Source organism: Homo sapiens, chromosome 19, assembly GCF_000001405.40.
Source record: "Homo sapiens chromosome 19, GRCh38.p14 Primary Assembly".
Classification (NCBI taxonomy): domain Eukaryota; kingdom Metazoa; phylum Chordata; class Mammalia; order Primates; family Hominidae; genus Homo; species Homo sapiens.
In genome coordinates, this window is record NC_000019.10 from 12934583 (window position 1) to 12944786 (window position 10204).

At 52.2% G+C, this 10204-nt stretch overlaps 1 protein-coding gene and 1 non-coding gene across 2 annotated transcripts, besides 9 other annotated features; both read left to right on the top strand.

Moving 5' to 3' along the window:
• Window positions 364–469: a silencer, noted in NCBI's record as "fragment chr19:13045760-13045865 (GRCh37/hg19 assembly coordinates)". NCBI's record gives its function as "represses an EF-1alpha promoter that drives an FKBP-Casp9 reporter gene in an ReSE screen in phorbol 12-myristate 13-acetate-treated (for megakaryocytic differentiation) K562 erythroleukemia cells {active_cell/tissue: K562(+PMA)}" and the evidence as "EXISTENCE:reporter gene assay evidence [ECO:0000049][PMID:32094911]".
• Window positions 2093–2222: an enhancer, noted in NCBI's record as "active region_14095". NCBI's record gives its function as "activates an Ori minimal core promoter by ATAC-STARR-seq in GM12878 lymphoblastoid cells {active_cell/tissue: GM12878}" and the evidence as "EXISTENCE:reporter gene assay evidence [ECO:0000049][PMID:35858748]".
• Window positions 3469–3578: an enhancer, noted in NCBI's record as "active region_14096". NCBI's record gives its function as "activates an Ori minimal core promoter by ATAC-STARR-seq in GM12878 lymphoblastoid cells {active_cell/tissue: GM12878}" and the evidence as "EXISTENCE:reporter gene assay evidence [ECO:0000049][PMID:35858748]".
• Window positions 3629–4267: a transcriptional cis regulatory region, noted in NCBI's record as "promoter|chr19:13049025-13049663 region (GRCh37/hg19 assembly coordinates) targeted for CRISPR interference". NCBI's record gives its function as "negatively regulates RAD23A gene expression in K562 cells {active_cell/tissue: K562}" and the evidence as "EXISTENCE:mutant phenotype evidence [ECO:0000015][PMID:31784727]".
• Window positions 3649–3698: an enhancer, noted in NCBI's record as "active region_14097". NCBI's record gives its function as "activates an Ori minimal core promoter by ATAC-STARR-seq in GM12878 lymphoblastoid cells {active_cell/tissue: GM12878}" and the evidence as "EXISTENCE:reporter gene assay evidence [ECO:0000049][PMID:35858748]".
• Window positions 4027–9907, top strand: CALR (calreticulin). Its single transcript, NM_004343.4, has 9 exons — window positions 4027–4188; window positions 4552–4653; window positions 4846–5049; window positions 5471–5565; window positions 5661–5870; window positions 5959–6072; window positions 6162–6305; window positions 8955–9047; window positions 9131–9907. The coding sequence occupies exons 1-9, from the start codon at window positions 4098–4100 to the stop codon at window positions 9329–9331; spliced, it is 1254 nt and encodes a 417-aa protein (NP_004334.1). The 5' UTR covers window positions 4027–4097; the 3' UTR covers window positions 9332–9907.
• Window positions 4325–5074: an enhancer, noted in NCBI's record as "H3K27ac hESC enhancer chr19:13049721-13050470 (GRCh37/hg19 assembly coordinates)". NCBI's record gives its function as "activates a minimal SCP1, AML or CMV promoter by ChIP-STARR-seq in naive H9 embryonic stem cells {active_cell/tissue: H9 hESC(naive)}" and the evidence as "EXISTENCE:reporter gene assay evidence [ECO:0000049][PMID:30033119]".
• Window positions 4369–4418: an enhancer, noted in NCBI's record as "active region_14098". NCBI's record gives its function as "activates an Ori minimal core promoter by ATAC-STARR-seq in GM12878 lymphoblastoid cells {active_cell/tissue: GM12878}" and the evidence as "EXISTENCE:reporter gene assay evidence [ECO:0000049][PMID:35858748]".
• Window positions 5311–6510: an enhancer, noted in NCBI's record as "MED14-independent group 3 enhancer chr19:13050707-13051906 (GRCh37/hg19 assembly coordinates)". NCBI's record gives its function as "activates an origin of replication core promoter dependent on BRD2, BRD4, P300/CBP and CDK7 cofactors, and independent of MED14, by STARR-seq in HCT116 cells {active_cell/tissue: HCT116}" and the evidence as "EXISTENCE:reporter gene assay evidence [ECO:0000049][PMID:35650434]".
• Window positions 5847–6474: an enhancer, noted in NCBI's record as "H3K27ac-H3K4me1 hESC enhancer chr19:13051243-13051870 (GRCh37/hg19 assembly coordinates)". NCBI's record gives its function as "activates a minimal SCP1, AML or CMV promoter by ChIP-STARR-seq in naive H9 embryonic stem cells {active_cell/tissue: H9 hESC(naive)}" and the evidence as "EXISTENCE:reporter gene assay evidence [ECO:0000049][PMID:30033119]".
• MIR6515 (microRNA 6515) lies at window positions 5902–5958 on the top strand. Its single transcript, NR_106770.1, has one exon. It is a non-coding gene; the product is annotated as a microRNA 6515 (primary transcript).

Below are 10204 nucleotides of genomic sequence, written 5' to 3' on the forward strand. Positions count from 1 at the left end.
CAGCCTTGACTTCCCAGGCTCTAAGGATCCTCCAACCTTAGGCTCCTGAGTAGCTGGAACTGCAGGTGCGCGCCACCACACCCAGCTTTTTTTTTTTTTTTAAGTATGGGTTTTGGCCATGTTGCCCAGGCTGGTCTCAAACTCCTAGGCTCAGGTTATCCTCCTGCATCGGTCTCCCAAAATGCTGGCATTAGAGGCATGACCCACCTCGCCCAGCCAGCCAGACCCTGACTCTTACAAAAAAAAAGATGACTAATAAAATATTTTGCACTCGGCCGGGCACAGTGGCTCACCTCTGTAATCCCAGCACTTTGGGAGGCCGAGGCGGGTGGATCACCTGAGGTCGGGAGTTTGAGACCAGCCTGACCAACATGGAGAAACCCCGTCTCTACTAAAAATACAAAATTAGCAGGGCGTGGTGGCGCATGCCTGTAATCTCAGCTACTTGGGAGGCTGAGGCAGGAGAGTCGCTTGAACCTGGGAGGCAGAGGTTGTGGTGAGCCGAGATCGTGTCATTGCACTCCAGCCTGGGTGACAAGGCGAAACTCCGTCTCAAAAAAAAAAAAATTGCACTTTTTTTCATACTAAATCTTCAAAATCTGATGCGTATTTTACACTTACAACACATCTCAGTTCGGACCAACCACATTTCAAATGGTCAGTAATCACATGTGGGCAGTGGTGACTTACGTCAGCACAGGTAGATTAGAATCCTAGATCTGCTGGCCAGGCTCAGTAATCCCAGCACTTTGGGAGGCTGAGGCGGGTGAATCACCTGAGGTCAGGAGTTCAAGACCAGCTTGGCCAAGATGGCGAAACCCCATCTCCTCTAAAAACACAAAAATTAGCTGGGTGCAGTGGGGGTGCCTGTAATCCCAGCTACACGGGAAGCTGAGGCAGGAGAATCACTTGAGCCTGGTAGGTGGAGCTTGCAGTGAGCAGAGATCGCACCACTGCACTCCAGCCTCGGTGACAGAGCAAGGCTCTGTCTCAAAAAAAAAAAAAAAAAAAAAAAAGAATCCTAGATCTGTTATTTATGTCATTCAACCAGAAGGTGTAGTCTTTCTGTGCCTCAGTTTCTTGCTCACATGGAGGTGATTGGAGCCCAGGTTACTGTGAGAATTAAATGCCCACACATATTCACACTGCTTACTAAATTGAGTGTGGCCCATGTTCGAACACTCTTATAAGCAGAACACATTTATTCCTTTTACATCACAATTATTATTTGAGTCTGTAAAATGGGATTACTCATATCCCCAAATCCTGACCCTATATGAGGTTCTGTATTAAGGATACATTTCTCAAAGTCCCTTCTCTCCTCCCATTTTATGTTGATTATTTATTTATTTATTTAGGGAGTGGGTCTCACTCTATTGCCCAGGCTGGAGTGCAGTGGCATGATCTTGGCTGACTGCAGCCTCCACCTCCTGGGCTCAAGCAATCCTCTCACCTCAGCCTCCCGAGTAGTTGGGACTACAGGTGTGTACCAGCAGGCCAGGCTAATTTGTGTTATGTATATTATATATTATATGCTATATATAATATACATACTATTCATATATTTATGCATTATATGTCATATATAATATATTACATATGTGTACATATATATATTTTGTAAGAATGAGGTTCCACCATGTTGCCCAGGCTGGTTTTGAACTGCCGGGCTCAAACAATCTGCCTGCCTCAGGTTCCCAAGGTGCTAGGATTATAAGTGTGAACTACCATGTCCGGCTTATTTTTATTTATTTTTGAGACAGGGTCTTGCTCTGTAACCCAGGCTAGAGTGTGCAGTGGCAACAACACAGCTCACGGCAGCGTCAACCTCCTGGTCTCAAGTGATCCTCCTGCCTCAGCCTTCTGAGTAGCTGGGAACACAGGCAGGCGCCACCACGCCTGGCAATTAAAAAAAATGTTTTTGTAAAAATGGCCTCCTGCTATGTTGCCCAGGCTGGTCTTGAACTCCTGGCCTTAAGCATTCCTCCCATCTTGGCCTGCCAAAGTGTTGGGATTACAGGCGTGAGCCACTGTGCCCCGTGTGTTTTTAGTTAATTTCCACAAGAGTCCTTCCTTCCTCTCTTCTATCATGCAGCAAGTACTTTTTAAGCCTGTTCTGTGCCAGGTGCTGCAGGTGACACTGGAGGATGCGAAGTGAACAAAACAGGCAGTGTCTAACCTCAAGTAGGAAGCGCCAAGCCCACAGGTGCCTGACACAGGAACAGGAGGAAGGGTCAGCAAGAGGCCTGGGATGGTCCCCGGGATCCTCATGGGGGGGACCAGACTAGGCAATACTGAATACTACCTAGAGGAAGTGGTAGAACCCCAACTTCCCAGTTCATTCTCCCCCGTCTTTTTTTCGAGATGGAGTCTTGCTCTGTCACCTGGGCTGGTGGGCTGGAGTGGAGTGGCGTGATCTTGGCTCACTGCAATCTCTGGCTCCCAGGTTCAAGCGATTCTCCCACCTCAGCCTCCCGAGTACTGGGATTAGAGGCACCCGCCACCACGCCTGGCTAATTTTTATTTATTTATTTATTTTTATTTTTAGTGGAGATGGGTTTTCACCTTGTTGGCCAGGCTGGTCTCGAACTGACCTAAAATGATCTGCCCGCCTCGGCCTCCCCAAGTGCTGGGTTTACAGGCGTGAGCCACTGCGCCCGGCCACCATTTCTTTTTTTTTTTTTTAACCAGAGACCCTTGCCAAGTCATTCCCCCCACTCCACTTTATTTTCCTTTTCATTTTTTCCTTCCTCTCTTTTCTGAGTCACAACCATTAGCCAGGAAGCACCCCCTCCCCACCCTCTTTCCTGGATCCCCCTCATTCCCTCCTTCCATAGTCCACTCCCGCGCTCCCAGGTCCAGGGCTTATTTGCCCAGAGTTTGGAAAACCCCCAGCTCTCCTTCCTCCTTTCTACAGCGTGGGGGCAGGGTACTGGTGCCAGTCACGTGCCTCTGGCTTCTGAAGAAGACTCTAGACTGGGGTCGGGGGGTGGGTCCTGCCCATCTCCCTAGCATCTTATCGTCCCTACCATCTGTGTCTTTTTTCCCTCCCCAAACGGAACCCCCTGCCCTCTCGCCTGCCTATAGCCGTTTAATTGCAAAAGCCAGGCCGTTTGTGGGAGACCACAGACAGCGACCCCCTTCATTTACCGGTTGAGAGGAGGGTAAAGGGGCGGCTGCAATCTGGGTAATAACCCTATCCCCACTCCAGAAGTCACAGTCACATCGTTAAGCCTTCCTCCCCTCTTGTCCCAGGACAGCTTTAAAAACGTTAAAAGCATTTCTGCTGGGTAGCATCTGGCCAGGGTCGCCCCCTCTGTCTGCTCAGGAACGTCTGTCACTTCAGAGAGCTTAAGTGACTTGCCCCGGTCACACAGCAGCAGTCCGATAGGCTGCCAGGGCTCTAGGGGCAGAAGGAGGAGAGGGCTGGCATTCTTCCCACCGGCCCGCGTGACTGTAGCACCGGGGTGCAGCGAAGCCCCAAGGGCCCCAATCCGTGAGCTCTCTCCCATCCCAGGCAGGGGTGGGGGAGCAGCAGTGGGGTGCTGGTTCTCAAATGCAAGATAAGAGCTGGCTAAGAAAGCCTTGCCCAGCCCCTCCACCTAGAGGGAATGGGAGGGAGAGAAGCTGAGGGCAGGGTCCCGGTCCCGCGTGGAGACAGCTGCGCTCCCGCGGTTTCTTTAAACGCCCAGATGGGCAACGACGCGCGCGGACGAGGGCGGGGTTGGGTTCAGGTCTGGTCACATGACCTGGCCTGAGGTGCTCGCGGCCCCCACCCCACCAGTGGGCGTCCCCCCCACGCGTGGTCGACCATCATTGGTCGGTGGTGAGGCCAATAGAAATCGGCCATCTGGGAACCCAGCGTTCCGAGGCGCAGCCTAACATAGTGAACCGACGAAGGTCCAATGGAAAAAGACGGCCATGGGCATAGACCAATGACAAAGTGGCAGGGGCGGGCCCAAGGGCTGGGTCAGGTTGGTTTGAGAGGCGGGTGGGTATAAAAGTGCAAGGCGGGCGGCGGCGTCCGTCCGTACTGCAGAGCCGCTGCCGGAGGGTCGTTTTAAAGGGCCCGCGCGTTGCCGCCCCCTCGGCCCGCCATGCTGCTATCCGTGCCGCTGCTGCTCGGCCTCCTCGGCCTGGCCGTCGCCGAGCCTGCCGTCTACTTCAAGGAGCAGTTTCTGGACGGAGGTAACGCCTGGTCCCGCCTCGAGGCCGCCCCGACGACGCGGCCGGCCCCCGATCCTGGATCTGCGTTGTCGCCCGTAATTACCGTTTAGAGGTCCAACACGGTGGCCTCCCGGGACTAGAGCCGCGGGCGATTTCTCTTCTGCGTCCCTGGGGAGCGCGGAGGGCGTAGCGGCCTCCCGCGGCGGGAGTTAGGGTTAGCCCGAGGATCTCTGAAGGCACCCGACGTGTCAAACTAGAGGTTGGAATGGGGAGTGTCGGGGATCTCCTTTCCTGTCCCCAGCAGCTTGTGGCTCTCGGCAGATGTTTGGTGTGGGGGGGGATTAGCACAGCCGCTCTGACCTACCCCTCTAATCCCCCACTTAGACGGGTGGACTTCCCGCTGGATCGAATCCAAACACAAGTCAGATTTTGGCAAATTCGTTCTCAGTTCCGGCAAGTTCTACGGTGACGAGGAGAAAGATAAAGGTAAGAGCCTAGGAGTGGGTGCTCAGATCCGGGAGGACTTCCTGGCAGAAGTCCTTGTCTGTACACACACAGCCGGGACAGTCCCCTTGGAGGAGGACAGGTGGAGGAAGTGGGGGAGTCTTCTCTATTCTCTAAGTCGAGGGTCCTCGCGAGTCAAGGCCCAACGGTGACCTCACTACCGTCCCGTCTCAGGTTTGCAGACAAGCCAGGATGCACGCTTTTATGCTCTGTCGGCCAGTTTCGAGCCTTTCAGCAACAAAGGCCAGACGCTGGTGGTGCAGTTCACGGTGAAACATGAGCAGAACATCGACTGTGGGGGCGGCTATGTGAAGCTGTTTCCTAATAGTTTGGACCAGACAGACATGCACGGAGACTCAGAATACAACATCATGTTTGGTGAGGGCCTGCTTCCTGGTGCTGATCTCTGTCCCATTAGTTAGAGGGAGACCCAGACCCCATTGACTTTCTTAATAATGATTTTTTTTGGAAGGGGAGCTAAAAGAATAAGTCCCAGCAACAATTTATTGCATTATGATCGCAGATCTAGGCTGTTAATTTAATTTGCGTGTTTGTATATAGTTATTTCCCAATCTTACTAATGAGGATTTTGAGTTCTAGAGCACTGATTTTTTTTTTTTCTCCTTTAAACTTAAGGCTCCACCCACAGCCCATTCAGGACAGAATCAGGGTCTGAGTTTCTCTTCTCAGCCTTGACAGACCCGAGTTGAAGAACCAGGTCTTCCTTTTATAAAGAGGGGTGAGAGCCTCGAGATGATGGGTAGTCTCTGACTCTTAACTGGATCTGCTTCACACCTAGGTCCCGACATCTGTGGCCCTGGCACCAAGAAGGTTCATGTCATCTTCAACTACAAGGGCAAGAACGTGCTGATCAACAAGGACATCCGTTGCAAGGTGTGCCTGGGGGTGGTGGCAAATGGCTGTCATGGGGAGATTCAGAGGTCAGCCTCATTGGGGGGTGGCCCCCGCTCACCTTCTTCCTTCTTCAGGATGATGAGTTTACACACCTGTACACACTGATTGTGCGGCCAGACAACACCTATGAGGTGAAGATTGACAACAGCCAGGTGGAGTCCGGCTCCTTGGAAGACGATTGGGACTTCCTGCCACCCAAGAAGATAAAGGATCCTGATGCTTCAAAACCGGAAGACTGGGATGAGCGGGCCAAGATCGATGATCCCACAGACTCCAAGCCTGAGGTTGGTGTTTGGGCAGGGGCTCTGCTCTCCACATTGGAGGGTGTGGAAGACATCTGGGCCAACTCTGATCTCTTCATCTACCCCCCAGGACTGGGACAAGCCCGAGCATATCCCTGACCCTGATGCTAAGAAGCCCGAGGACTGGGATGAAGAGATGGACGGAGAGTGGGAACCCCCAGTGATTCAGAACCCTGAGTACAAGGTGAGTTTGGGGCTCTGAGCAGGGCTGGGGCTCACAGTGGGGAGTGCACCAACCTTACTCACCCTTCGGTTTCCTTCTCCCTTCTGCAGGGTGAGTGGAAGCCCCGGCAGATCGACAACCCAGATTACAAGGGCACTTGGATCCACCCAGAAATTGACAACCCCGAGTATTCTCCCGATCCCAGTATCTATGCCTATGATAACTTTGGCGTGCTGGGCCTGGACCTCTGGCAGGTGAGACTTGGAGGAAAAAGGAGGATCCCTGGGGTACCTCAAGTGCATAAGATCACCCAAGAGGAAAGGGACAGGGTAGGCACCCCAGGTGAGTCTGACTCAAAAATGGTACTTCTTGTAAACAGTACTTCCTGGTCTGTCCCTGTGAAGTCCTCACAGCAACCCCTTTAAGGTTATACTTGCTGTGCACCAAGTACTTCCCCAAGTACTTTTATGCAAATCAACTTCTTTACCCCCAAAGACCTAGAAGGTGGTCAGGTAACCCAGTTAGTTAGCTGGGGCTGGGCACAGTGGCTCACCCTTACAATCACGGTACTTTGGGAGGCTGAGACAGAGGATTGCTTGAGGCCAGGAGTTACACAACTCAACCTAGCTTGGCAACACAGCGAGGAGACCCTATCTCTACAAAAAAAATTTTTTTTTTTGAGACAGAGTTTCACTCTTGTTGCTGAGGCTGGAGTGCAATGGCACGATCTCAGCTCACTGCGCCCTCCGTCTCCTGGTTTCAAGCGATTCTCCTGCCTCAGCCTCCGGAGTAGCTGGGATTACAGGCATGTGCTACTATGGATGCCAGGCTAATTTTTTTTTTTTTTTTTTTTTTTGAGACCGTGCCTTGCTCTGTCGCCCAGGCTGGAGTGCAGTGGTGTGATCTCTGCTCACTGCAAGCTCCGCACGACCCCCCAGGTTCACTCCATTCTTCTGCCTCAGGGTCCCGAGTAACTGGGACTACAGGCACCCCCCACCATGCCTGGCTAATTTTTTTGTATTTTTTTTTTTAGTACAGACATGGTTTCACCGTGTTAGCCAGGATGGTCTCCATCTCCTGACCTCATGAACCACCCACCTTGGCCTCCCAAAGTGCTGGGATTACAGGCGTGAGCCACCTCACCCAGCCTTTTTGTAGAGACAGGGCTTCATGTTGCCCAGGTTGGTCTCGAACTCCTGGCCTCAGGTCATCTGCCCGCCTCGGCCTCCCAAAGTGCTGGGATTACAAGGGTTAGCCACCATGCCTAGCCTCTACAAAAACTTTAAAAATTGGCGAGATGTCATGCATACCTGTAGTCCCAACTACCAAGGAAGAAGGATGATCACTTGAGCCTGGGGCATCGAGGCTGCAGTGAGCCATGATTATGTCACTGCACTCCAGCCTCGGTGACAGAGTGAGACCCTCTCAAAAAAAGTTGGGACTTGGCCGGACACAGTGGCTCACACCTGTAATCCCAGCACTTTGGGAGGCCAAGGCGGGTGGATCACAAGGTCAGGAGATGGAGACCATCCTGGCTAACATGGTGAATGAAACCCCATCTCTAGTAAAAATACAAAAAATTTGCCAGGTGTGGTGGTGGGCGCCTGTAGTCCCAGCTACTCGGGAGGCTGAGGCAAAAGGATGACGTGAACCCGGGAGGCGGAGCTTGCAGTGAGCTGAGATCATGCCATTGCACTCCAGCCTGGGTGATAGCGAGACTCTGTCCCAAAAAAAAAAAAAAATGCTGGGACTGAATTTTTGTCTGTTTTGGTCACTGAAATACCTTCTGTGCCCAAGACAGTTCTGGCATGTAGTAGGTACCTGAAAAATACCTGAATAAGAGAGTGAGAAACAAGAAACAGGTGCAGAGAACTGAAGTCAGTGGCCCAAGGTCATGGGGGTAGGAAACCACAAAGCTGGGGTTTGAACCTGGGCAGTACAGCACCTGAGTCTCTCCATCTTTTTTTTTTTTTTTTTTTAAGACAGAGTCTTGCTCTGTCACCCAGGTTGGAGTGCAGTGGCTTGATCTCGGCTCACTGCAGCCTCTGCCTTCCAGGTTCAAGTGATTCTCATGCCTCATCCTCTCGAGCAGCTGGAATTACAGGCATGCGCCACGACGCTGGGCTTTTTTTTTTTTGAGATGGAATTTCACTCTTGTTGCCCAGGCTGGAGTGCAATGATGCAATCTCGGCGGCTCACCACAACCTCTGCATCCCAGATTCAAGCGATTCTCCTGCCTCGGCCTCCTGAGTAGCTGGGATTACAGGGATGCGCCATCACAGACCCCGGGCTAATTTTTTTTAGTAGAGACAGAGTTTCACTATGTTGCCCAGGTTGGTCTCGAACTCCTGGCCTCAAGTGATCCGTTCGCCATGACCTCCCAAAGTGCTGGGATTACAGGCATGAGCCCGTCCCGTCCCTGGCTGTCTCTCCATCTTTCCATCTTTTTTTTTTTTTTTTTTTTTTTTGGAGATGGAGTCTCACTCTGTCACCCAGGCTGGAGTGCAGTGGCACGATCTTGGCTCACTGCAAGCTCCGCCTCCTGGGTTCACATCATTCTCCTGTCTCAGCCTCCCAAATAGCTGGGACTACAGGCACTTGCCACCACGCCTGGCTGATTTTTTGTATTTTTAGTAGAGACGGGGTTTCACCGTGTTAGCCAGGGTGGTCTCGATCTCCTGACCTCGTGATCCGCCCACCTTGGCCTCTGGGCGAGGATTACAGGCGTGATCCACCTCACCTGGCCTCTCCATCTTTTTAACTGCAGTGTCAGCGGTGTTCCTTGTCTTCTCTGCAGATGCAGGCAGCAGAATATAGTGGTTATAGGAACACAGGTGGAAACCCTGTCCAAAGCAAGGGCTATCGGGTATCACCTCTGACCATCCTTCCCATTCATCCTCCAGGTCAAGTCTGGCACCATCTTTGACAACTTCCTCATCACCAACGATGAGGCATACGCTGAGGAGTTTGGCAACGAGACGTGGGGCGTAACAAAGGTGAGGCCTGGTCCTGGTCCTGATGTCGGGGGCGGGCAGGGCTGGCAGGGGGCAAGGCCCTGAGGTGTGTGCTCTGCCTGCAGGCAGCAGAGAAACAAATGAAGGACAAACAGGACGAGGAGCAGAGGCTTAAGGAGGAGGAAGAAGACAAGAAACGCAAAGAGGAGGAGGAGGCAGAGGACAAGGAGGATGATGAGGACAAAGATGAGGATGAGGAGGATGAGGAGGACAAGGAGGAAGATGAGGAGGAAGATGTCCCCGGCCAGGCCAAGGACGAGCTGTAGAGAGGCCTGCCTCCAGGGCTGGACTGAGGCCTGAGCGCTCCTGCCGCAGAGCTGGCCGCGCCAAATAATGTCTCTGTGAGACTCGAGAACTTTCATTTTTTTCCAGGCTGGTTCGGATTTGGGGTGGATTTTGGTTTTGTTCCCCTCCTCCACTCTCCCCCACCCCCTCCCCGCCCTTTTTTTTTTTTTTTTTTAAACTGGTATTTTATCTTTGATTCTCCTTCAGCCCTCACCCCTGGTTCTCATCTTTCTTGATCAACATCTTTTCTTGCCTCTGTCCCCTTCTCTCATCTCTTAGCTCCCCTCCAACCTGGGGGGCAGTGGTGTGGAGAAGCCACAGGCCTGAGATTTCATCTGCTCTCCTTCCTGGAGCCCAGAGGAGGGCAGCAGAAGGGGGTGGTGTCTCCAACCCCCCAGCACTGAGGAAGAACGGGGCTCTTCTCATTTCACCCCTCCCTTTCTCCCCTGCCCCCAGGACTGGGCCACTTCTGGGTGGGGCAGTGGGTCCCAGATTGGCTCACACTGAGAATGTAAGAACTACAAACAAAATTTCTATTAAATTAAATTTTGTGTCTCCCTCCTGTGTCTCCTTCTGGGGAAAGACAGACTTAAGGAAACCCAGCAGTGGTCTTTTTGGGGGGGGGGGGGGTTTCCAGTATATCTCCTTTTTCAGCTATTGCTAGAGAGGTTGCTGAGTGTTCCACAAGATTCCAGGGACCCTTATTTACCCCATAACCCTCAAAACCAACGGGGGAATGGCTGTTGCTGCTGTAAATACTCCACATACTAACTTACTGAATCCTTGAACCTAACTGGTAAGTTTTGGTTCTGCTTATTTATTTATTTTTAAGATAGACTCTCGCTCTGTTGTCC